At 52.9% G+C, this 24600-nt stretch overlaps 1 long non-coding RNA gene across 1 annotated transcript in view, besides 5 other annotated features; it reads right to left on the bottom strand.

The window, feature by feature from the left end:
- Nucleotides 198-699: an enhancer, noted in NCBI's record as "H3K4me1 hESC enhancer chr11:134397395-134397896 (GRCh37/hg19 assembly coordinates)". NCBI's record gives its function as "activates a minimal SCP1, AML or CMV promoter by ChIP-STARR-seq in naive H9 embryonic stem cells {active_cell/tissue: H9 hESC(naive)}" and the evidence as "EXISTENCE:reporter gene assay evidence [ECO:0000049][PMID:30033119]".
- Nucleotides 11002-11527: an enhancer, noted in NCBI's record as "H3K4me1 hESC enhancer chr11:134386567-134387092 (GRCh37/hg19 assembly coordinates)". NCBI's record gives its function as "activates a minimal SCP1, AML or CMV promoter by ChIP-STARR-seq in naive H9 embryonic stem cells {active_cell/tissue: H9 hESC(naive)}" and the evidence as "EXISTENCE:reporter gene assay evidence [ECO:0000049][PMID:30033119]".
- Nucleotides 17774-18302: an enhancer, noted in NCBI's record as "H3K4me1 hESC enhancer chr11:134379792-134380320 (GRCh37/hg19 assembly coordinates)". NCBI's record gives its function as "activates a minimal SCP1, AML or CMV promoter by ChIP-STARR-seq in primed H9 embryonic stem cells {active_cell/tissue: H9 hESC(primed)}" and the evidence as "EXISTENCE:reporter gene assay evidence [ECO:0000049][PMID:30033119]".
- Nucleotides 18303-18832: an enhancer, noted in NCBI's record as "H3K4me1 hESC enhancer chr11:134379262-134379791 (GRCh37/hg19 assembly coordinates)". NCBI's record gives its function as "activates a minimal SCP1, AML or CMV promoter by ChIP-STARR-seq in primed H9 embryonic stem cells {active_cell/tissue: H9 hESC(primed)}" and the evidence as "EXISTENCE:reporter gene assay evidence [ECO:0000049][PMID:30033119]".
- Nucleotides 19558-20059: an enhancer, noted in NCBI's record as "H3K4me1 hESC enhancer chr11:134378035-134378536 (GRCh37/hg19 assembly coordinates)". NCBI's record gives its function as "activates a minimal SCP1, AML or CMV promoter by ChIP-STARR-seq in naive H9 embryonic stem cells {active_cell/tissue: H9 hESC(naive)}" and the evidence as "EXISTENCE:reporter gene assay evidence [ECO:0000049][PMID:30033119]".
- The window catches only part of B3GAT1-DT (B3GAT1 divergent transcript), a 69180-nt gene continuing 67118 nt past the window's right edge, over nucleotides 22539-24600 (bottom strand). Inside the window, exon 6 of the long non-coding RNA NR_033852.1 lies at nucleotides 22539-23402. This is a non-coding gene — a long non-coding RNA (B3GAT1 divergent transcript). The remainder of the gene's footprint in view (nucleotides 23403-24600) is intronic.

The following is a 24600-nucleotide window of genomic DNA, read 5'->3' as shown; positions in this document are numbered from 1 at the left end:
CCAGAGCAGACAGCAGAGAAGCCTCTTCCACCAGCTCTGGTTAGAAAATGCCAAGGGAGGCCTGGGATTGGTCCCAGACTGGTTCACTCTTGTCCCTGGATGGGTCAGGCCAGGCAGGAGCGGGGGCACTGGGGTGGGTGGTGCTACCATGTGCTCCCCACATCACAAGGGAGCATGCTGATCAGCGACCCCCACCCCAAACCATGCAGTTGGCAAAGAGGGACCCTTCCTCTAAAGGAAAGGGTGGGGTCTGACCAGCCCCAGCAAGAAATGCGTGCTGCAAGAACCTTTCCATAGTACAAACGGCTCTGACTGGCAAAGGCAGACCACCCCCGAGAGACCCCCACTGGGCTTCTTTCAAAACCACGCAGTTCACGTGAAAGAACACCTGCAGTCTTCAGGAGGCTGAGCCACACTCGTGTGGAACTCAGCTGGGCATGCGGCCTTCTCGATACTGTTCTTGAGTCTGGTGCCTCCCAGTGACACTGACTCACCGAACACCCTGCCCTGTGTCACACTGTGTAGGGGGCCACGATTTAGCAAATGAAACGACAGGACACCGAACTAAACTGGAATTTCAGATAAACAGCAAATAACATTTTAGTACAAGTGTGTCCCATGCAGTATTGGGGACATGTTGTACTAAAAAGTTCTTCCTTGTTTATCTGAGATTCAGATTAACTGGGCAGCTTGAGCTGTAGCTGGCACCCAATCCCGAGCCCTGGGCTCGCCTGGGCCTGCTCGTCTGGGACTCTGAACCTGGCGTGCTCTTTCTCTGTCAGTGGCACTGCACTGGGAAAAGGAGAATTTTCTTCTATTTGACATATTCTGATCCTCTTGCTAAAGGATGCTCCCCTTTAAAATCACAGGTATTGAAGAGACAAGAATATTTTCTACTGAATATTTTATACTCACCAAATAAAACACAATGTAATCTAAACATGGTTATAAAAAATACCTTCACACTTATTTCAAAAAGTCGTTTACGCCACAAACGACCCAATTTAAAAATGGGCAAAGGACTTGAGTAGACATTTCTCCAAAGGAGATGCACAAATGGCCAATAAGCACATGGAAAGACCTTCTGCATGACTAGTCATGAGAAAATACAAATCAAAGCCATGAGGGATCACCTTATGCCCATTAGGATATTATCAGAAAAATGAAAACTAGTAAGTGTTGGTGATGATATGGAGAAATTGGAACACTTATACCTTGCTAATGAGCATATAAAACTCTACAGCCTCTGTAAGAAAAAGTACAGTGGTTCCTCCAAAAATTACACTTAAAACTATCACATGATCAAGGAATTCCACTTCTGGGTATATACACACAAGAACTGAAAGCAGGGACTCAGACAGATACGTGCACCCATGATCACAGCAGCTTTATTCTGGGTATATACACACAAGAACTGAAAGCAGGGACTCAGACAGATATGTGCACCCATGATCACAGCAGCTTTATTCACAATAGCCAAAACAGCAACCCAGGTGTCCATGGATGGTTAAGTGGATAAGCCAAATGTGGTCTATGCGTATCGTGGAACATCAGGCAGCCCCATAGAGGAAAGAAATCCTGACACCTGCTACCACACAGTTGAAACCGGAGGCCATTGTGCTGGTGAATAAGCCAGTCAGGAAAGAACAAATACTCTATGGTTCCACTTATGAGAGCTACCCAGGGTCGTCAGATTCATAGAGGTAGAAAACAGAACATTGGGTATCAGGGACTGGGGGCAGGGGAAAATAGAAAGTTCATATTTCTTGGGTGCAAAGGTTTCATTTTACGAGATGAAAGAGTTCTGGAGATGGATATTGGTGATGATTGCATAATCATGTGAATGAACTTAATCCCACTGAATGACTTAAAACAGGTAAAATGCTAAATTTTATGTTATGTATATTTTCTCACAATAAAGCAATTTGAAGAGGAGTATTTCACTTACTTCCATCCCTTTGAACAATATCAATGCAGATATTTTACATCCTCTGAAGAGCTGGGCACATATATATATCACTTTTTTTTTTCCAAGACAGAGTCTCACTCTGTTGCCCAAGCTGGAGTGCAGTGGCACGATCTCAGCTCACTGCCACCTCCACCTCCCAGGTTCGAATGATTCTCCTGCCTCAGCCTCCAGAGTAGCTAGGAGTACAGGCATGCGTCATCATTCCCAGCTTATTTTTGTATTTTTAGTAGAGACGGGGATTTCCCCATGTTGGCCAGGCTGGTCTCAAACTCTTGACCTCAGGTAATCTGCCCTCCTCGGCCTCCCAAAGTGTGGGATTACAGGCATGAGCATATATCACATTTTACTCAATCCTGAATCTATGCAGGCCTTCATTTGTGTACTCGATTTGCAGAATATATCCTTGCCCCCATACACTCATGTGCGGTTTTGTCCATGTTCATGCCATTGCTTAACAAAACGAATAAATAAAGACAGTGTCTCTTTCTCAGGCCGGATTTGCAGAACATGGTTTCAGGTAAAGGAGGGACGAGCCACTCAGGGTGGTGCCCTGCTCAGAGCCGGCGGTGCTCTGCTCTGCTCCAGTGACCCGCAGAGAGATGGCTGTGCACAAACAGGGTGTGTGCACAGAAGAGGGGTCAGGGCAGTAAGAGATCTAGAAACCCCTTCTTATGGGGCCTGGGAAAAAGAGCACGAAGCTGGGTGTGGCTTCAGAGGAGGGGCCAATGGTCTCGGAACATCCGAGGAGTTGCTATGCAGAAGCCTGATTCGATTCATTTCACATTTCTCCAAACGACAAGCTCCACCCTGTTTAGAGTTCTAAGAACTGCTATCAATCATGCCCCGTGCAGACATATACGCCTCTTTGTGCGTAATGAGCCCTCTGGCTCTCGGACAGGCCAAAGGGATGTCAGTGCTCAAGGCAGCATGGGACAGCGGGCGCTTCTCACTTTGGGTGAGAGCTTGGGGTAGAATTCTTCTCAGTCCCTTCAGAATCATAGATTCCAGGACACGACCCACTGAACGCCTGCTGCACTCTCTGACATCACCCTGTGAGTTCATCTATTTTGTTAGGCATCCAACGTTAAGGCATGGCGACTCTTGTTTCTTTGTTCCAGTCCCACGACTCCTTGGACAGAGCCAGCGATCCCTGCTAACCACCCTCCCAGCAACTGAACCGTGTTTCTGAGGCACCATTCAGTGCCCAGCACTATGCCAGATGCTCCGACAAGCAGGCCTGTAAGACATGTTCCCGCCTCTAATGGAACTGACATTCAGTGGAGGAAATTCTTAGCAAAAATGTCTGGCACATGGTTGATGCTCAACGATGATGACTTAGTTGGATTAATTATACAATACAGGATTAATTATACAGGATAATCATTAGGCTCAAACTCAACAGGGTTCTCAAGGAAGCAAAGGAATCCAATTTAGTGTATATTAGTCATGGTACGTTTCAAGAAAGAAATGGCACTTGAGCTAGGCCTGGAAAATTCAGAAGGAAATAGCAGGTTAAATAATGGGCAAGCCCCATTAGAGGTGAAATAGAACATTTTAGCTACCAGTTACTGGTGCTGGGCATTGAGCTAAGTCCTCTACACATTATTCCGTTTAATCCTCACGTAGCCCAATGAGATCAGTGTCGACACCCATTTTGTAGTCAGGAAATCGAGGCGTAAAGATGTATGCAATTCACCAGTGGCCACATGGCCAGCAAATCACTGGGCTTAGATCTGAGCCCTGGGTGGAAACCGCTACACAGTTGGCCCCTCCTGGGCTGGGGGCAATTAAGAGCAGTCCGTGCAGGGGCAAGGTGGCTCTGAGAAGATGGGGAACAAGGTTCAGGAGGGAAAGCAGGCCTCGGTTAGGGGCCTTGGGATCCAGGCAGAGGAGGTGCCACAGTCAGCAGCAAGAGCCGCCGCAGGGTCCTGAGGCGGGAGCCGGCCCGGTTCTCACTGCGCCTCCCCGCGGCCGGCCCGGTTCTCACGGCGCCTCCCCGCGGCCGGCCCGGTTCTCACGGCGCCTCCCCGCGGCCGGGCGGGCTCTCACGGCGCCTCCCCGCGGCCGGCCCGGTTCTCACTGCGTCTCCCCGCGGCCGGGCGGGCTCTCACGGCGCCTCCCCGCGGCCGGCCCGGTTCTCACTGCGCCTCCCCGCGGCCGGGCGGGCTCTCACTGCGCCTCCCCGCGGCCGGGCGGGCTCTCACGGCGCCTCCCCGCGGCCGGGCGGGTTCTCACGGCGCCTCCCCGCGGCCGGGCCGGCTCTCACTGCGTCTCCCCGCGGCCGGCCTGGTTCTCACGGCGCCTCCCCGCGGCCGGCCCGGTTCTCACTGCGTCTCCCCGCGGCCGGCCCGGTTCTCACGGCGCCTCCCCGCGGCCGGCCCGGTTCTCACGGCGCCTCCCCGCGGCCGGCCTGGTTCTCACTGCGCCTCCCCGCGGCCGGGCGGGCTCTCACTGCGCCTCCCCGCGGCCGGCCCGGTTCTCACGGCGCCTCCCCGCGGCCGGGCGGGCTCTCACTGCGCCTCCCCGCGGCCGGCCCGGTTCTCACGGCGCCTCCCCGCGGCCGGCCCGGTTCTCACTGCGCCTCCCCGCGGCCGGGCGGGCTCTCACTGCGCCTCCCCGCGGCCGGCCCGGTTCTCACTGCGCCTCCCCGCGGCCGGGCGGGCTCTCACTGCGCCTCCCCGCGGCCGGCCTGGTTCTCACTGCGCCTCCCCGCGGCCGGCCCGGTTCTCACTGCGTCTCCCCGCGGCGGGCCCGGTTCTCACGGCGCCTCCCCGCGGCCGGGCCAGCCTCCCCGCATTCCCAGAGCACCTCCCCGTGTCAGAGCCAGAACATCCCAGAATGGACAATGCCAGACAGCTCGTTTCTCTCCCTCCAACAATAAACAAGATAACCACTTGTCAGTCCTCCCCCTGGGGCCGCCGATCAGGAGGAAAATCCCTCAGCTTCCTGCAATGGCTGTGTTCCCCCGGCCTTCTAGCAATTTCAGGAAGCATGAAAGACTTTATTCATCAGGACCCAAAACCAATCTGCCTTTTCCTCCAGCTTCATCCATCACCATCTTTACCTGCTGCTGGGGAGGTGGGAAGGGGGAGGAAGGAATCACCCACCTTCCTTCCATCCCCACTCTCTGCTGGCCTGCAGCCCTCCAAGGCGCTCCTATCAATTGGATCAAAGGTCACTGGCTTAGACAGAAGTGACCAGGTGTTTCCCATGCCTTCGGCTATTAGGAGCCCTGTGGGGACTGGAGCCGGCTGCCCTGGGGAATCTGCAGGTGCAAGTGTGAGTGCGGGATGCAGGACCCTCAGGGCAGGCACTGGAGCTGGGCCAGAGGCGAGAGGGGCTGAGCAGCAGTTCCAGCAAGCACCGAGGACATACGACAGGACAGGCACACCCGTATTCAAGGAGACACAGGCAGCACTTGTGTCTAACACATGCCTGCCATTAGCACCCATGACCAACATCCCAGGGCAAGTGTACACGAACTGCACCCCTGTGCACACAGCAGATCCACACGAGGACAAGCTTGCGCTCCTCTTGATTTATAAACATGCTTACCCGACCGCTCACTCACTGCCTGTCCCATCAGCCACACTCCTCATCAGTGCCTGTGCTCCTCAGATGGGTGCCGCCTCCCTCTCGCTCTTTCTTTTTATGTCAGCAAATGCCACCACATCCACAAGAAAGCCACAATGCCCATGGCTCTGATCCAGTGTGTGTGATGGTGCCCACACAGGGAGTGGTCACAAGTACCCCAGTGTTTGTGTGTGTCTGTGTGTGTGCTTCTGTGTTTGCAGGTGTCTCTGCATGTATGAGTGGATCTGTGTGTCTGTATCTGTGTGTGTCTCTGTGTAGTATGTATGCGTGCATGTGTCTGTATGCGTGAGTCTGTGTGAGTGTTATCTGTGTGTGTGCATGTGTCTGTGTGTGTGTGAGCTGGTCTGTGCATGTGTGTGTCTGTGGGTGCGCCTGTGTGTGAATGGATCTGTGCATGTGTGTCTGTGTGAGCAGGTCTGTGCATGTCTCTGTGTGAGCTGGTCTGTGGGTGTGTGTGTGTGAGCTGGTCTGTGCACGTGTGTGTGAGCTGGTCTGCGTGTGTCTGTGGGTGTGCATGTGTGTGTGTGAGCTGGTCTGTGCGTGTCTGTCTGTGAGCTGGTCTGTGCATGTGTGTCCGTGGGTGTGCCTGTGTGTGAATGGATCTATGCATGTGTGTCTGTGGGTGTGCTGGTCTGTGCATGTGTGTGTCCGTGGGTGTGCATGCCTATGGACTCCCAGCTCCATGTCACCACATTCCGCCCCTCCCTGGTGCTAACCTCGGCATCTGCAAAGTGAGCACAGATGTCGGGTCTCCCTGGGGGCCACCCCCTCCTACTCCCTGGGTGGGGCCCCTTCCTCCAGGATCTGGAGGTAGCCTGTAACCCACAGCCTCCAGAGAAGGATCTGTCTCCCTGCTCCGCCCTCACTCCAGGCCCCACTGCTTGCTCAGTGTGGAAGACGCTGCACTCTGTCCACACTGCAGACAGAGCGGATGGACGGGAATCACTCCACAGTCAATGCAATGGAGAAAGGGGAATCCACTGGCCCGTGGGAAGGGGTGGCCAGGGAGAGGAGGGGTCTGCAGTGCTTACGGTTCTGGGTGGACTGAGGCAGCCCTGGAAATCCCGAGGCAGGAGCGTGGTGTGTGGAGAGAATGACCATTGACAACGTGAGGCTGGGAGGTGGCACCAGGACTCAGGCCTGGGTGGGGAAGGTGGATGGAAAGCTTTTACAGAAAAGAGACAGAAAAGGGTAAGTGTGAAACAAGGAAACACTCCAGTGAAACAGATACAGTGGCTGAAGTCACCACAGCAGCATTGAGAGACCCATAAGGAGAATATCACGTGTCAACGAAAAGCCCGCTGGTCACGTATGTTCACGGTGCGGCGGTGAGAGGTCCTCCGCAGGGCTCCACTCAGCATGGGTGCAATTCCAGAGACGCAGGGACTGTGAAGGGCTCACATCTGAAAATGGGGCCCTCTACCTTACCTGTAGAGGAGGGACCCTCTCCAGCCCATCGGCCTTTGGGAGGTGAATCTGTTTGCTGGGATGCAGGATGAACCTCCTGTCTAAGGGGCCTGGAGCTGAGACTTTGGCGTGTGTCTCCGACTCTAAAAGCCTGGTGCTCCAAACACCTGCCACCACGTGTTGCTGGCTTGTTCATCTGCACACTGTCGTCACAGTTCAATGCTCCCTTGAAAATGAGATTTTCCTCTGCGTGGGGCAGGAGTGATGGACCTGTCTGAAAGATGTGTGTCCTTCTGCAAATGAGCCTGCTTTTAATATAGTTGAGGATAGATTGACAGAGGCAGATGGATGGATGATACAAGATAGATACATAGATGGATGATTGATTGATTGAAGATATGTATTGTAACTGGTTTTGGAGAATAGTGTCTTAGTAGAGTAATAGACCAAAAATAATAAAATCATTAGAAACCTAAGAAATAAATGAAAAAATGAAAATTGGCAAGAAAATTAGTATAAAGAATATTTTTTATTTGGTGGGAATAAATGATTGGCAATGGGTAACTGGCACAGGCAGCGGGAGATGGATGGATGGTGCCAACCTTCACATCTGTGGGCTGTGGCCTATAACCAGCTGTTGACAAGCCCCCTGTCACTTAGACCTCCCGACAAGCCTGCGAGGAGACACTCCTATTATCCCATTATTGAGGCACAGAAAGGTTGACCGATTTGTCCAAATCCCACAGCCTGTGAGAAGAAGAGATAGGACCTCAGCCCAGCTGCTGGAATGAAAAGTCAAAGTTCTTGACCATTTGGCTGTGCTCCCTCTCCCTGGGGTGGGCAGAGGCAGACAGGACCAATCCACAGGAGCACATGGCACCACACTGGCCTGATTCTTCCAACCCTGCTGTCTCCTGTCACAATCCTCCTAACTAAACCACAAATGTGACAGAAACCTTCCAATCCACGTGTGCCAACACAGAGACTCTGATGCCGCCTTAACCCTGAGTTCTGCAAAACAGCAGAGGGGCCAGTGTCCTCTTTTTACCAAAATGGCTCATCTCACAGTCTCACCTTCCCTTCAATCCCAGCCTGCTTCCTGGCTATGGAGAGAACCTCGTCCTGCTCTTAGTCGAGCTAGTTGCTTTTGCTGTGACTGTTTCCAACTACAGGCCATGCCAGAGGGACAGGGAGGGAAAGGCGAGCACGGAACGCATCCTCCGTGAGGTCCCCAGGAGGCTTCTGTAAAGAAAGAAGTCAGCTTTGGAGCAGGAAGCATCTGCTGTGCTCTGGTCAGCAGCTGTTGGGGGAAGGCCTGGAACCTGCTTTTCGTGCTGGGGCTGCCAGGCCATCATCCAGCCTCACTCAAGGCAGAATTCAGAAGGTTCTGGGATCTTTCAAATGCAAATGGGCTCCCTCTTTCTGGGCCCAAGGGTGTGCACTTTGCCCTTAAACCTCCACTGAGCTTATAGATCAAAACGCTTACAGAAGATAAAAGCTAGAGGGAAAGCTAAATCTTAGACACAGGATTCAAACTTTTAGGTATGTAACTGGGGAAACTGAGGCCCAGTGAGGTGAAGTGTCTTACTGAAGGCCATCCCTTCAAGTCGTGCACCCTGGGCTGGATGTATGGTCCTGCCCAGGACCCCTGTGTGGCCTGGACGCATGGGACCCCGCCCCAGAGGGAGCCCTCTCTGCCTCATGAACCTGCCACCCAGCCCTGGGCAACTGGTGCCTGAGCTCATAGCTTACTTCAACATGAGCTTCAAATAATAAGAATCATAATGAAAGTAAGACTTCCTCCAACCGAACACGTAAGTTTTCCAGCCTCTCCCTGGATAACCTGCTGTCTCTGACACCAGCTGACCTTGGCAGATTGCAGAGAACCATGCGGCCTTTCCACTCCAAGCTTGCCCTGCAATGCTCCTCCTGAAAGGGCCAACAGCGCTTCTGCACCCTCAGACCTCCAGGCAGCCCGCAGGATGCACACCCCGTCAGGGCTGGTGCTGTTAGCATGAGTTTCCTCACTGCTGCTGGCCATGTCATCAGAAGTCAGGGGTCCAGACTGCTACGGCGTTCAGTTCTAGATGTTGTCCTTTGGCGTTAGAAATCAGCATGATTCTTGGCAACAATGTAGTACACAGTGATTACCAAATGGAGCACCGGGGAAGTAATAGTGAAGCTTTCCATGCCAAGCAGGGTGAGAAGCAGGCGGGGGATCTGGGAGAGGAGCAGGAGGGGGTCGGGAGACTGCGTGGTGTTCTGCCATTTTGCCTTCATGACAACCTTCTGAAGTGGGTTCCACTGTCCTGTTTCACAGATGAGAAAACTGAGGCTTAAGAGAAAAAGCAGTGACTGGCCCAGGCACGCACACATCGTGAGGGTGACTCTGGCTTTGAAGCAGCCGGCCTGGTTCTGGTGTGCTCACCGGCTCCTTGGGGCACACGCAAGGAACGGCCGTGCAGTGCTACAGTTAAGACCACACATTCCAGGGCAAGACCGGCTGGATGGGAATTCTGCTCTGCCACTTTGGGCTGTAGGTCCTTGGGCTAGTTGATTAATAACCCCCTGAGCCTCGATTTCCCCATCTCTGAAATGGAAATAATAATAGTGCTGCCCTATAGGGCTATTGTAATAAGCATACGTTTGGAAGCAGGCTTGTCACATAGTAAGCTCTACACAAGTGTTACCCATTTCTAGCATTCTGTCTGTATCTCTTCTCCTTACCTCACACGGCCATGTCTCCAAAATCAAACCCTCAGCTGCAAGACCCCTGCTGCCCTGAGGGAACAGGGTCTACAATAAATCAGCTTGTCTACTGAAAGGTGGGGTAGGCTTCTAAGCAAGAGAGGCTGCTCAGGGCAGAAGACACACTTGGTGACAGGCAGGGAGTCCCCCAGAATTAATTGCTCACCACCATGTCACTGCTGGTGACACATTTGCAATTACTGTCTCCCTGGGAGAAAAAACGGCCCATCCTCTCCCAGCTCCAGTCCCCACAGTCTTGGGCCTGATTTTAGTAGGTCTGAGAGGCAGTACCTGCCAGTCCCAAAGAGTGAAATGACCACAAGATAAGGAGGTCCTGGGTCTTAAACGACAGGCCGGCTTTTCCGGTCTGTTCCAGTCAGTGACGGGAACTGGGCATGTGCTGGCATCCTTCCAGTGGGGTCTGTAATTGAGATGGAGCCTCTGGGAGCTTGGGGTGGGAGCACAAATACGAAGCATAGCATTTATTGATGAGGACAAGTCTGGGAGGTAAACCTGAACGCTCTCTGTTCTCACCTGGCCTCAGACTTTTGTCTCACCATGCATGAGAGCAGACTTGAGGAAAGAAGGAAAATAAACATTGGGTCCCCTGCCGGATTTCCTGGAGACAGGGATAGTCCCTAGACAGGCCCAAACATCAGCTTTGCTTCTGTTGTTTGCATCTGAGCTCAGCCTGTGTCAACATTGTAGAGAACAGAGCATGAGAAGCGCTAAATTTCCTCCACCGGCACACTCCGCAGTGGAGCACATTTTGTTTGCACCACCAAAGTCCTTCGCAAACTCTTCATCTGAGGTGTCCAGGATTCCACCAGGCCCCTGTGTCGGCAGAAGCCCAAAGCCACGCGAGTTGTCTTTCTTGGGTTTGTAGCGTCCGCCCCAACACAACCTACAGCATAGGTGGGTGAAGGGGACCCCCGGTCTCAGAGTCACAAACCCAAGGTTGTAGACCTACAGATGTCCCTCAGCTTAATGACAGGATTATGTCCCTATAAACCCACAATAAGTTGAAAATATCTTAAGTAAAAAATGCAATTAATGCACCTAAACTACTGAGCATCATAGCTTAGCTTAGCTGAGCCTACATTAATATGCTCAGAGCGCTGACATTAACCTACCATTGTGCAAAACCATCCAACGCGAAGCCTATTACGTAATAAAGTGTTACATATCTCAGGGAATTTTTTGAATACTGTGAAAGCAAAAGGCAGAATGGTTGTGTCGGTAGTACAGTTTCTATTGAATGTGTATTGCTTTGGCACCATTGAAAAGCCAAAACACTGTAAGTCAAACCGTCATAAGTTGGGGACTGTCTCTAGTTCTGTCAATGACCAGGTGTACCCAGTGGGCACCGGGAGCAAAGCTGTAGCCTCCCTGAGCTCCCTTGAGCATCTCTCCCTCTGAACCTGTTTAAACCCTACGGTGTCCTCCATCCCCGTGACATTGCCCCCAGCCCGGCACGAGCAGAATGAAAGGCTCCTTCTCTGGGTTCCCTGGGCTTCCTCCTCTGGTCCCTCATTGAAACTGCTGTCCCCCTCTCCACTCCAAGCTCCCTGCCGGCAGGAACTGTGTCTCTCCAACCTTATTCTCACTCATGGCACAGCGCTTGGCATGCTGCAGGTGCTCAAGAGATGACTGTGAATGGATGGAGGCGTGCCTCTTGCAGAACAGATGGCTGGGGGCGGAGCCTGGGCACTGTGTCAGGCAAGGGGGCCCCCAGGGGTATGCAAGGAGCTGCTGCTTTTGAAGTACTCTCATCTGTTTGGGGAGTTGGTGTTTAGGCAGAAAGAGATGGTGCAAAGCCCAGGCGGCAGATGCCACATGCCCAAAGAGCAGCTCAGGTGGTGACACCACGGCATGCGCGGCGATCAGTGCAGCCATGAGGGGCTATCAAACCACAAGCTGAGTGACCAGTGCCCTCAAGGATGAGGACAGTGATTTACTCGGGGTCCTTCCTTATTCAACTATGCATATACGTATCCTCTGCTCTGGGAATTAGGAGGAGGACCCAGCAGTGGGGTTAGGGAGGGGCTCAGCCTCAGATGCCAAGAAACAGTTCTGCTTCCTTTAACACACACCCCAGCCTGGGCAACCATGGAAGCCTCCTCCTGTTATCAGTGTTCACTTGCAGAGTTAAGGCTCCAAGGTGTGAAGGGAAAGGGCTCGCCCTGCTTAGAGAAGGGGGAGGCTCTGTGCCTGCCTATGACACTGCCCCTGAGAGACCTGCAAACCTGGTGTCCCAAACTTTTCCTACCACCCAGTCTCTCTGTACGGCTGGAGCAATGGTCCTGTCTATCTAGGGGCTGCCTGCCCTTCAAAGCCAGCTCAGGCCTTACCTCCTTCACGAAGCCTGCCAGGGCTGCACCCCAGAGGCTCTCACCTTCCTCTGAACCCCTCCTCCTTACTGTCTGTCCACTATTGCCATCATTCATTCATTCTTAAAAGTAAGAGTATTTGCAAATAGGAACCATAATATTTTGACTTCCTATTTCCTCTCCAAAGGTAGTGGGGACCAATGGGGGGAAAAGACACAATTGGGAATCAGTTCCTGCTGTTCTATCCCATAAGCTGGAGACATGGAAGAGAAGGAGGTGGTGCAGGTGAGGGGAGAGGACTGAGAGAGGGCTGCTGTAAGACCAGCTCAGCACGGGAGAAAGGCGGGAGCGCGTCTCCAGGGGGAGGAGGCTCCGGGTGTGCTCCCCATGCCAGGGTCAGGTACCTCCCGGTGATTCCCAGCCCCAAACCCACACGCTGAGTCAGGGGTCTGCATCTGCTGCTCAGCACTGCTGATGCTGGGGCTGCTACGCAGTAATTACCCACCAAGTGTCTGGTTATTTCTGTCTCTAGCAGGAGGACGGATCAGAAGGGGCAGAGTCCAGAAATAGCAAAAGCAATTAGCAGGCCGGCTTCTGAGGGCATAATTACTGTGCAAGAACCAGGCCCTGGCAGGTAACCCTCGGCCTAGTTACCAGGTAGCGAGAGGCAGGGACACCAGCGTGCCCTCCCCAGCCCCAAAGCGGTGCTCGGTGCTGGGTGTGCAGGGTGCAGTGTGAAGGAACGTCAGCGTCCAGGGCGCCTTCTCCCTCAGGGCCCTTGGTGGACCCAGAGCTCTGGGTGGGCTGAGAGGTCCTGCCTGGCACATACTCTGTGCTCTCAAGACAGGCTAAAAGGCCTGGGGGACCCTGGAGGGGAGTGCCAAAGACCACCTACCGTTATCCGCCACCTCACCGTCCACCTGCTACCGCCACCTTCTTTGAGTCAATTCCTGTTTGCAGTCCCTGTTAGATTCAGGTGCCCTGCCACAGTGTCAAAGTGGTGCTGAGGTGGGGAAGCCGTGCGGGGCAGAGGCGGGAGGGGAGATGGAGCCCAGAGCGTCCCCTCTGTGCCCTCAAAGGCTCACCCTCCTGCCGAGGAGGAAGGACAAGAGCAGCCCTTCAAATCAGTGTTCACGATGTCTGCCCACCAGGCTGCAGGATTGAGCGATCTGGGTGTGAAATAAATCAAGGAAGGCTTCCTGGGGGCGAGTGCCTGCAGAGCAAGCCTGACCTTTTCAGCCTCCAGCCCTCCTCAGCCTCACTGCCACGCCCAGCAGTGCCCCTCCCTCCACCGAGCTGCCCTCTTGCTTCTTCAGCCTTCCCAGCCCTCTGGATGCTTTCCCAGGTGCCTGGGACAGAGAGTGGCCTCACCTGCCCAGGTCGGACATAACACCCTCACTCTGGGCCCCCAGCCCTCTGTGTAGTTGGGCACAGCGGATAGGGTCAGGAGGCGGGAGTGGGAGAGTGTCAAGTTAAGTTCCAGCTCTGCCACAGGGGGATGTGGGGGCCCAGCGAACCCCTAACACACTCAGGGGCCTTGTGTAGACTGGTGGGCATTGCCAGGACTGTGAAGGCACCTGCCGTGCCCAGCACCTGAGCTCTGGTGTGGTGGGAGCTTCTCCACTTCTGCTCCACCAGGCCCATGCAGGCCAGCCCCGCCTCACTGGCACTGCCTCCAGCAGCACATATCCACCACCAGGCTGCATCTTCCCAGTGGAGACCCAGCACCGCCTCCCTGGAGAGTCAGCCTGCACTGGTCACTGTGCCAACAACCCTGGCATGGGCACCCCCTCTAGTGAGGAACTCCGGTCCCTGCCCTGAGGCTGCTTCCAGGGACCACAAGCTTCTCAGCTGGGTCCCTGTACCAACTGATGAGGAGAAAACAGCATTTCTCTCTCAACACACAGAGCCGAGAGGCAGCTGCTTGTGGATCCAGCTGGAGCTGGCATCAGAAATTCTGTCCCTGGGTTCTAGGCCCTGGTTTGCAGTATTCGTGAGGCCCGGAGTGAATCACTTCCTAGCTCTGAATATTAGTTTCCTGTCTATAAGCGGGAGGGCTTCCTCCCACCTGCTCCATAGAGTGATTGCGAGGAGAGGTAGGGAGAGGCGGATGAAAATCCGTTCTGTGCTTGGTTTTCTCTCCAGCCATCCTCTCTGAGCCTTGAGGGACAGGTGAGAGCTGGAGCTCAGAAAGGTGCAGGTAAGTTTCACAAGGCCCACCTAGCCATACCTGGGGAAGAGCACTGGGGCCACCAGCACCCCGGACCCCTCCTCTGCACTGCCCAGCCAGTCTCTGCAGGCTCTGACCCCTTGGCCAGGCTGGCCAGCCCCAGCAGAGCCCCGTCCCCGCACACCCGCGCGGCAGACACTGTCAATAACGGAGTGCAGGCTCTGACCCCTTGGCCAGGCTGGCCAGCCCCGGCAGAGCCCTGTCCCCGCACACCTGCGTGGCAGACACTGTCAATAACGGAGCGCCATGTTTGTCTAATGGATTTATCACTCTTACGAATGCAGCTTCATCAACAAAAGCAGGTGAAAATCGATGTCAAGGCAGCTAAGTGAGCTGCACTTTCCCTCACGGCTTGGCAAGTATTGATAGCCTTTTTGTCCACTTGGTGTTTTGCACCCAATGTGGCACTGAAAACAGGAACAAAAATGCCCTTGGCTCTTCTTGCCGACAGTCCCTTGGCTCCAGTTCAGGACAGGGTGCTGGAGCTACGCGCTCCCCATCCAGCCCTCACCGTCCTGCCCTGGAGCAGTGCATCACCTCCGGGGCTTCGTCTCTCCAGGAAAGAAGGGCAGCTCCTCTGCAGCCCCACACGGCTCTCGCTGATACAGGCAAGAACATCACCTGCAGAGCTGGGGAAAGCCACCCACCCTGAACCGGACCAGAGAGAGGACAGGCATTTGTTTTCACACGTGCACATGCATGTGTGTGCGGGTGTGTGTGCAGGTGTGTGTGGGTGTGTGCACTTGTGGTTGGTTTGCTAGTTGGTTTCGTTTGGTTTGGTTTTTGGCTGAAGTGGGGATTGGCTGGTTGGGTTGGAAGAAGATTTTGGAGGAATGTTGGGTGCTTCTTGGCAAAACTGCATTAGGATTTGGAAATAAAATGGGACAGGAAGGCGGCGATGCCTTAGAAGTTGCGCTGGATTTCTGTTTGTTGAAATGTGTCCCGCACAGCTACCTCGGCTTCCTCCTGTGTTCAGTGTCTGCTGGGGTGAGTCGGGAAGACAGGGAACCATCCAGTGGAATGAGCTCCGGATGACAAGTGCTTAAAATGCTTTCAATTAATTTTGTTTATATATTAATTGCCAATTAAGAGCAAAGCACCATTCCAAGTTCTGGGGAAAATAGGGAGAAGAGGTACAGATGGAGGAGGGCTTCTTCATCTGTCTTCTCGTTTGACAAGAACTTGTGCCAAGAATTTCCCATATGTTACTTCCAATCCCTACGAGGACCCTCAGACTAGGCATTATTACCCCATTTTAGAGATATCACAACAGAGGAGCCCAGCTTCCCCAAATCACACAAACAACAAGAGACTAAAATGGGATTTGAATGCAGATTTGCCCACCACCCAAACTCAAGCTCTCTGCACACTGAGACGCAGGAAAGCAGACAGTGGTGTCGCCCCATCTTACAATTCAGAAGATGTCCACAATTCTGTCTTCCTACTGACCCGCATCAGCAACCCCCAGGAGGGCTTGTTGAAACAAGGATTGCTGGCCCACTCCGGAGGCTCTTCCCCAGTATGTCTGGAATGGGGCCCAGGAATGTGCACTTCAGAAAGACCCCAGGTGGTGCTGGCACCGTCGATCCAGGGATCACACTTGGACCACTATAGACTCTATCCTGGGTGCTGGAGACTCCAGGAGGGTCAGGTGGCTGTTCAGTGAAGTTGCTGTGGAACCTTCTGGGGTTCCTGGACTACTGACAGGCCCTTCTCTGCAGGAGCACCGCTGCCAGCCAGTGGGAGGGACTGGGGGCTCAGTGCCCCGACTCCCAATGCACAGGAGTCCCGTAGGCTTCCCCACTTGGGCCCTAGGTTCCCTTTCGCCTTCCCTTCCTTGCTCTTAATTCAGAGCCCTTTTCTTCCTTCCAGATGGTGAAGCCCTCTCGGCAAGGAGAGAACCATCTCACTCTCCCTTCTTGTCTTCCATTCTTCTCATGGAAGCAGAGTGAGGATTCTGTCTTATTTAAACAAGCTTGAGGGACTTGCTTCTGATTTTGTGCAGAGCAGATTTTTTATATGTGGTAATGTATTTCTGGGTTTATGTTCCCCAAAAGCATGTACAAATTTTGGATAGATATACGTGTGCCTTATTCTTGAGAAACAAAGAGGAGATGGGTCATAGCACTGCTATTACTGCCAATCATAGTCATCATCATCAGTTGTGAGTGTGTATTATTGTGTATTATGTGCTACAGCACATGCATTGAGATCTGTCTCACCCCCACCCAACCCTTTGAGTTCCTCAACATAACTCACATGTATCAGATACATACAGTGGACCTGGCACTATTCAAAGCCCTCTGCCTGATTCATCTCATTTAATCTTCACGGCTCCTCAATGAGGCAGGTTCCATTCTGCCTCCCTTATTAAGAAAAGGAAGCTGGGCACAGAGAGGTGGAGTGGCTGCCCAAAGTCACAGGGTTCCTGAGCCTGTGTCCTAGCCAGCCTCCTGAGACAGGTGCTATTATCCCACAGTGTACCGTGGGCCCAGAAGGGGTCCTCCAGGCCATATGGGAAGTCACAGCACAGGCACAAACCCAAGGCAGTGTGACTTTAGAACCCATGATCTTAATCCACACATGCTGTGTGATGTCAGGTCAGAGCCCCAGACCTCTGGGCTCCTAAGCCAGATGTCTAGTCTCTAGAAAATACCAAGCAAGATTGTGCACCCTGAACCCCAAAGCCACTGCTACAGCTGATGCCTCCTGATGCCCACAGCATCCTTGCCGGCCACACTGAGCACACTGCCTCCCAGTGTGCAGCTTCCCCTCCCACCTGCCTTTGAACTCAGCAACTTGTCATGCTTTCCAAGGCACAAGGCAACTCAGAAGCCAGCTTGCAGCAGAGACTCCCAATTCACCACACATACACAACCAGCCTCCTCAAAATCCATGCGGGCCAATGCCCTCAGCTTTACCAAGGAGAGGGCATCCTGCCCCTGTGGCTCGGTGGCTCCAGGGCTCACACACACCCCCATAGGAAGGGGCGTCTCCAGCATCTGTCAGGAAAGTGTTCTTGTTGTCTCAGGGTTGCTGTGGCGTTCTCTCTCATGTGAATATGCACCCAGCCTCGCCACGTGGTTTCTGGTCTATGAGAGAGTCGGGGGTGAAGGCTGGGTGAGCAGGGGCAGGCAGGGGCAGCTGGAGGAGCAGGGAGGGCTGCGTGTGGGAGGGGACCAGGACTTCCAGGCCTCAGCCTCAGCCTCTCCTGTGGGGCACCCGGGTCCTTTTGAGACAGAGGTGGCTGAGCTGCCCCGGCAGGCCCTGGGCACCAGTCTCCCTTCAGCCCCCAGGCAGGATGCCAGGCTGGGTGGAGGAGGCACCGTGGGCTTGACATGGACTTCTAGGCTCACTTCCTTCTCCACCAGCTGCTGTCTTGAGAATGTGTGTTTGTCCAAGGCTGAACATGGTGAGATTCCTATGCATTTGCCTGTCAGAGGGCCAGTGGGGCCAGAAGCCTCCTGCAGAGGCTAACCCCGGTGCTCCCAGTCTCCCCCAGTTGCTGGCTGGGCAGGGCAGGGTGCTGGTTCCACCGTGTTTGTTTGTGGTGAGAGAAGGCCCCCACCAAGGTGGGGTCAGAACCCCCAGGTGTGAGTCGCCCGCCCTGCCCTGCGGATGGAGTCGCCCGCCCTGCCCTGCGGATGGAGAGCTCTCACTCCGTGAGTGTCTCCACTGGACGCTGTCGGGGGTGCGGAGGTGGGATTTTTTTTCCTGTGAGATTCCAGAAGACAGAACAAGAGCCAACTGGTGAAAGATTCAGGAAGACAGATATTGACTCATTAAAAGGAGTCACGTTCTCACATTGAAATTGGAATCGCTTCCCCAGGAAATGGTGAGAAATCTGCCACTCAAGTGTTCAGGCAGAGTCAGGGGGCTGCCAGCCTGGGAGCTGAGGATGTGGAGGGACGCCTGCCACAGGGGCAGGCTGCTCTGACGACCAGGAGGCCCCTCTGCACAGAGGCCCAGCTTCTCAGACTGCAGTCTCCACAGGGCCTGGGCTAAGCGAGGCAGCCCCACACCTCACTCCTGGCCCATCAGTGAGTTGGGAAGCATCTACCTAGAGAACTGCCAAGGCCACGGAGAGGCGTAGCTGGAGCCCTGGCCTCAAAGAAGGCACAATGCGGCTGGGAGAGGTGGCAGCTCACAGGAGACAGCTAGGAGGTGGTGGCGGCAGGGGCTATGAGCCACCTGGCACCCTGCAAGGTGCAAACCACCCCACAAAGAGGTGGCGGTGCTGGGGCTGAGGGCAAGGGGAGGAGGGTGGGAGGTGTCTCCAGAATCAGCTAAGAGCACGGGGTCTGCCCTGGGAGCTGGAGGGGCATCAGCGAGAAAGGCAAGAAAGGCAGGCCCAGGACGTGGCTGGCTGAGGTCACCGGCATGAACATCTGAACCCAGCTACGGCTTGGGGAGCCCCCAGGTAAGACATCTGCCCGCCCAGCGGTGGCTTTCATGATCGGGATTCAGGGACCACCCCTGGCCAAGTGCAGTTCTTGGACCTGAGAGAGCTAAAGCTCCGTGGCCTCCCTGGTGGGAAGGAAAGCAATGATGCTCATGGCCTCCTCCACCTGTCCAGCTCAGGGCCACTTCACTGGCCTCTGGGGCTTACTGTTTTCTGCCGTGGACTACAATTATCTGCGCAAGTGTCTGACCTCTTGAATTAGACTGCGAGTTCCTCAAGAGCAAAATCCATCTTCTACCCACTCCTTCACACCCACCCTGGCCACACTCATTCACACCTGCACACCCACACACACACACACACACAATTTGTTGATCGACTGCTGCATAAGCAAATAAAGTGATACATTTTCCTAGGAACATTTTTCAGAGCTGAGGAGTATGAGCCTAAGCCCTTAAAAGCTGGCCAGTGGCTGGCTGAGCGGGTGAATCCACATTACGGAAAGCGTGGGCTCAGAACCATGAATATTTCTGAGAAGAGGGAAGCTAAAGGAAGCTGCCATACAAGACTGAACACCAACAAGGAGATTGGTGAATGGCAGCTGCCTCTTAGGCCTTCACCCTGCCCCCACACAACCACTTTTCACACACTTCCCGCACCCGTGCGGCACATGCACCTCCCAGCGTGTTCTCCCGACCTCACCCACAGGCCTTCCCTGGCTAGCCTCCTCACGCCTGGAGGGGCAGAGGCAGCATATCTGGTCCCTGCGAGGAACCTGGCAGGTTGCATCCCCTATGCCCCATTCCCCGTCCCTTCACCCTCTGGGACCCACTGCTGATGAGCCTCTTGACTCCCTGGTGGTCAAGCTCTACTCTCCTTCCGAAACAGCTGATTTGGCCTCACTCTTCTTTGAGAGAGAACCTTCCCCCCATAGAATACCACATCGCATCTCAGTGGCAGCAAAGTCAAAATAGGACCCTGGTCTCCAGCTTGAGCTTCGGCTGGACTGGCTCGTGGATGGCATCTTGGGCTCCAGGGCCTCCAATGGCATCCAGAGAAGAGTCTCCTTCTCAGAACGGTGCGGGGGCAGCCTGGTTCTCAGCAACACTCAAGGAAAGAGCAGTCCACACAGCCCAGATTCTTTCATAGTCTTGCTTAGGGGGCCCACGGCCTACACCGGCCTAGGCCATGGCTTTTCAGATCTGTAGGAAACCAGCTGGAAGCCTGAGGGCAGGACTTAATGATACTTCTTTGTGCACAGGTCAGTCGAGTACCCTGTATTCATTTGCAGAGGAGAGAAGACAGAACAAAGAGAGAGAAGAAGAAAGGAGGAAGACAGGCTGAGGGTACCCTTCATTCTTCCACTTGTCCTTCCACTTGTTTTTGGATACCATGGCTTGAGTTCATTCCTGATTTAGCCCCAGTTAACTGTCCCCAGCCTCTCTGAGCCTCACCATCCTCATCTGGGAAGTAAAGATGGAGCCCCTGTCTCTCAGGAAAGCTTGCAAAGGCAGTTAGCATGCCAGGGAGGAAGGCGGTTAGCATGCCGGGGAGGAAGGCGGTTAGCATGCCGGGGAGGAAGGCGGTTAGCATGCCGGGGAGGAAGGCGGTTAGCATGCTGGGGAGGAAGGCGGTTAGCATGCTGGGGAGGAAGGCGGTTAGCATGCTGGGGAGTGATGCTGTAACAGCAGGGAGTTTTTGGTACAGTTCCTGGGTTCTGTCAGGCTACAAGTATCACAAGGCCTGCATGTGCAGACTATGGCCACCGCAGTGTCACCCAGCTTCCAATCCTTGAGGACCTGTTGGGTGAGAAAGGGGCATCTCCAGGGAGTTTTAATTTGTGTTTCTCTTCATCTCAGTAAAGATGAACATCTCTTCACATTTATGAGCTATTTGTATTTCCTTTACTGTGAATTGTCTCTGTGAATCCTTTGCCTACTTTTATTTTGAATTTTTGGTCTTATTTTGTGGGAGCTCTTTATGTATTAAAGAAATTGACCTCAGTCTGTGATCAGAGTTCCAAACTTGTTTCCCAGTTTGTTGTTTATTATTCGGTTTTGCTTATGGGTGGATATTGTCATGCAGAATTCTTTTAGGTAGTCAAACTTATCAAGACTTTATTTTATGATTTCTGGGGTTTCTTTGTTTCTTTGTTTACTGTCATAGGACTTTACTACTCTGAGACTATAAATAACTCTCCTATGTTTTAATTTTTCGAGTAGTATGTGTTTGGTTTTTTTTTTTTTTTGACCTTTAAATCTTTGATTCATTTGGAATATATCTCAGTTGGAGATCTCCATTACTAGCCTAGTTATGGGCCAGTAATTTTCTCAGATGGCTGCTTTGTGGTCCCAACACTGTTCATCGAATAACCCATCTTTTCCCCACTATTTAAGAATATCTGAGGAAGAATCATCATACAACTTTCAGTTTCCTCCTGTAACTGGTTCTGTTTTTGGACTCTATATTCTGTTCCCTTGACCGGATTCCCTATCCATGCACCAGCACCACACAGTTTTATTTATTATAGCTTAAAACATATAGCTATATCCCTCATCACCCACTACTACATCTCTGTTTTGGAACTTCTTGAACAATTCTTACTTGCTCGTTTTTCTATGTGAATTTTAGCAACAGCTTGACTCAATCCAAAACATGCTATTTCTGTATATATTTGAAGATCAAATTAAATTTATAGATTAATGAGGAGAATTGACACATTAATATTGAGGCTTACAGTCTGTTTCGGTTAGGAGGTTTGTTCAACAGCCAATAGACTCAAGTGCATTGGTTTAGCCACATATGGGTTTAAGGAGGCCCAGGCTGGAGGCTGGCTTGGCAGCTCAGTAGAACCACCAGGGAGCTCAGTAACTCCTGTCTTTCTTCTCTGCCATCCTCAAGCTGGCTTGCATCCTCAAGGTCATCCAAGTTGAAGGTCCTGTAATCACCACTGGCTGCAGTCAGTATGTCCCCCCGATTCCAGGAAGGAGGGCAGGGAAAGGCAAGTGGATCATGGCCAACTATCACCTCCCCACTCTTACTGAGTTTTCATGGAAGTCCATTCAACAAGTGTCATCAGCTTGTCTAGTTGTAGCCTTTCCAGAGAGCTGGAAAATGTAGTCTTTTCATCTGGGCACATTGCCATCCTAAATAAATTTAGATTTCTATTACTAAGGAGAAAGGAGAAAATTGGAGACACAGCCTGCAGACTCCACTGCCCTATCTTGGATGAGGAGCCAGTCCCATCGCCCAAGTCCCTGCCCTCCTGAACTCCCTCTCATGCAGGTCTCATCACTGCTGCAACCCTGGAACTGCTCTTGTCAAGGTCAACAAAAACCACCATCTTTCTAAATCCAGTGCTCAATTTTCACTCTTTATCATATGCAGGCATTCAGCAACAATTGGCCACTAGCTCACTCTCTCTTTTTAAAATCCTTTCTTGGTTGGACCATAGAGCACGGTCCTTGATTTCCTTCTGTCTAGCTGGGTGCCCTGCCCATGGCCCTTTGCTCAGACCTTTCCCAGCTGCTGTGTGTGTTCACTCCTTACGAGTGCATGTGGCCGGTGACTGTGGAGGTGTGAAAGGCACACACACACATACTGATGCCTCTCAAATTTAAATTTAAGTCCAGTCCTACACACCTATTGAGAGTGGCTGAAGTCTTTTAAATGGGCACACCAGGTGCTGGAAAGGACGCAGAACAGCTAAAACGCTCACACAATGCAAAATGGAGCAACCGCTTTGGAAACAGCTTGTCAGTTTCTTATAAAGTGAAACACACATTTACCCTATGGCCCAGAAATCTCATGCCTTGTTATTTACTCAACAGAAATGAAGACGTGTCTACATAAAATCCATGTCTGTTTATAGCAGCTTTATTCATAATTGCCAAAAATCTCAAATGTACATCAACAGGTGAATGGATAGGCAAATTGCAGTACATCCATACAATGAAATACTACTCAGCAGAAAAAGAAATGAACTCCTGATGCCTGAGACATGGATTAATTTCAAATGCATCACGCTAAACAAAAGGAGCTAGACTCAGAAGACCCCCTACCATAGGATTTCGTACATCTGATTCCATTCACATCTGGAAAAGATAAAACACCTTGGAATCACATCTGATTCCATTCACATCCATACAGTCTGGAAAAGATAAAACCACTGGAACATAAAGCAGACAGCAATCTCCAGGGGCTGGGGCTGGGGCTGTGGAATGGGGCATGACCATCAAGGGACACAGCAAACTTTTTGATAGTGGGAATATTCTACATCTTGATCGTGGTGGTGATTAAATGCCTACACATATTTGGCAAACCTCAGGCCTGCACACTTAAAAGGGGAAAGTTTACTATGTAAAGTATACATTAATAACCCTGACTCTAAAAATTTAGCCCATCTGCTTCCCTGCACTCTGCACTTGGGGGAAAAATGTGAAATGGAGAGTCTGTCATTTCAGTAAATGACACCCTTGCTCCTGGAGTGACTTTGGGAAAGATGGAGAGTGGCAGCCTCCTGTTTTCTGCTCTATTCCAGCTTCTCATCTTCGTCCACAGACTGGTGGCACCCCCTCCTCTGATCTCACCAGGTCCGACTGCGGGCCCAGCTGCACAACCTCCTTCACAGCACCCATCCTCACTCCTCCAGGCTTGTTCCTTGTGTCAGCTTTTGGGCAGCTGTCACCTGATCCTCACACGGCTCGTGTTGGTTTGTGTTGCCTTTTTCAAAACATAAATAAGATCACATTTGTTACAAGTTCACAATCACCCAGGCACAGGTGGCCTGAGGTCCGAGTCCTTCTCCAGCCTGGCAGGAGCTGGCCTGCCCCCCTTCCCACCCTTGCTCCTCCAGGCCTGGGGCCGTTGTGCTGCTCTACAAGCCCAGGCCCATCCCTCTGCAAGTCCTGTGCACCGGCTCAGCCTCTGGGTGCAGATGCAGCTCAGGGGCTCACTTGTCCAGTTCTCAAAGCAAACATCATCTCCGCAACGCCATCACAGCAGCCACTCTTGATTTCCTACTTTGTTTTAATTTTGTTTCATCTTATCGTTGACTCAGAGTCCATCGTTTGGCGTCGTTGCGTCTCTTCCCCAACAAAATGTAGGCTCATTCACAGCAGGAAATGGTGATTGCATGAGTGCCCGGGCAGCCTCAAGAAGCCCTATTGTTTTTGCCTGCTCTGCAAGGTTGTGCTTCTGAATTGACTCTCCAAGACCCTCATTGTTCAGCCTTCCTCAGGATGACGCACCTCCCAAGGAGGCCTTCTTCCTCCCCTACTTCTTCCTCTCTTACAATCACATGCTCGCAGATACCCATTAAAAGAGACAGCCCTGTCTCCCTTTCCCCACCCCACCCACACCCAAATGCCCTCGGCAACATGTTCCTGTGCCCGCAGACACTGGGCACCTCAGGAGCACAGCCTGCTAAGGCGCCAGCATCCCTCCAAGCCCACTCCATCCCCCCAAAACTTGCCTCTACATCTTCACCCTGGACTCAACCTTCAGGGTGTTTGGAGAGAAATGGCACCAGGCTAAGGAGCTACTCGCTGTGCAGAAAACACAGCCCTCCCAGCCTCCTCCTCCCCAGGTCTGTTTCTCCCGCCGCTTGACTGACAGGCAGCAAAGCCCGTTTCTGTGGCACCCAAGGGTTCGGTCCCAGGACTCAGCCAGAGCTTCTTTCTCCAGGGAGGGGAGGATGCAGGGTCTGCAGAAGCAGCCGCTCAGTTTTCTGAGACCGGGCCTCCTCAGCAAGATCAGCGGCTGGGTCCCGCCGCTTTGAGAGTGACGTCCCAGTACCCTGGCAGGCAGGCAGGCTCTGGCCGGCGCGCAGGCCTTCGTGGGGCTCCCTGAGACAGGACAGGCCCTACATCAATCGCTCATTTATTCACTCCTTTATTAATTTACTCATAGCAAATATTCA

This window comes from Homo sapiens, chromosome 11 (genome assembly GCF_000001405.40).
Source record: "Homo sapiens chromosome 11, GRCh38.p14 Primary Assembly".
Classification (NCBI taxonomy): domain Eukaryota; kingdom Metazoa; phylum Chordata; class Mammalia; order Primates; family Hominidae; genus Homo; species Homo sapiens.
This window is presented reverse-complemented; position numbering and strand designations above follow the sequence as displayed.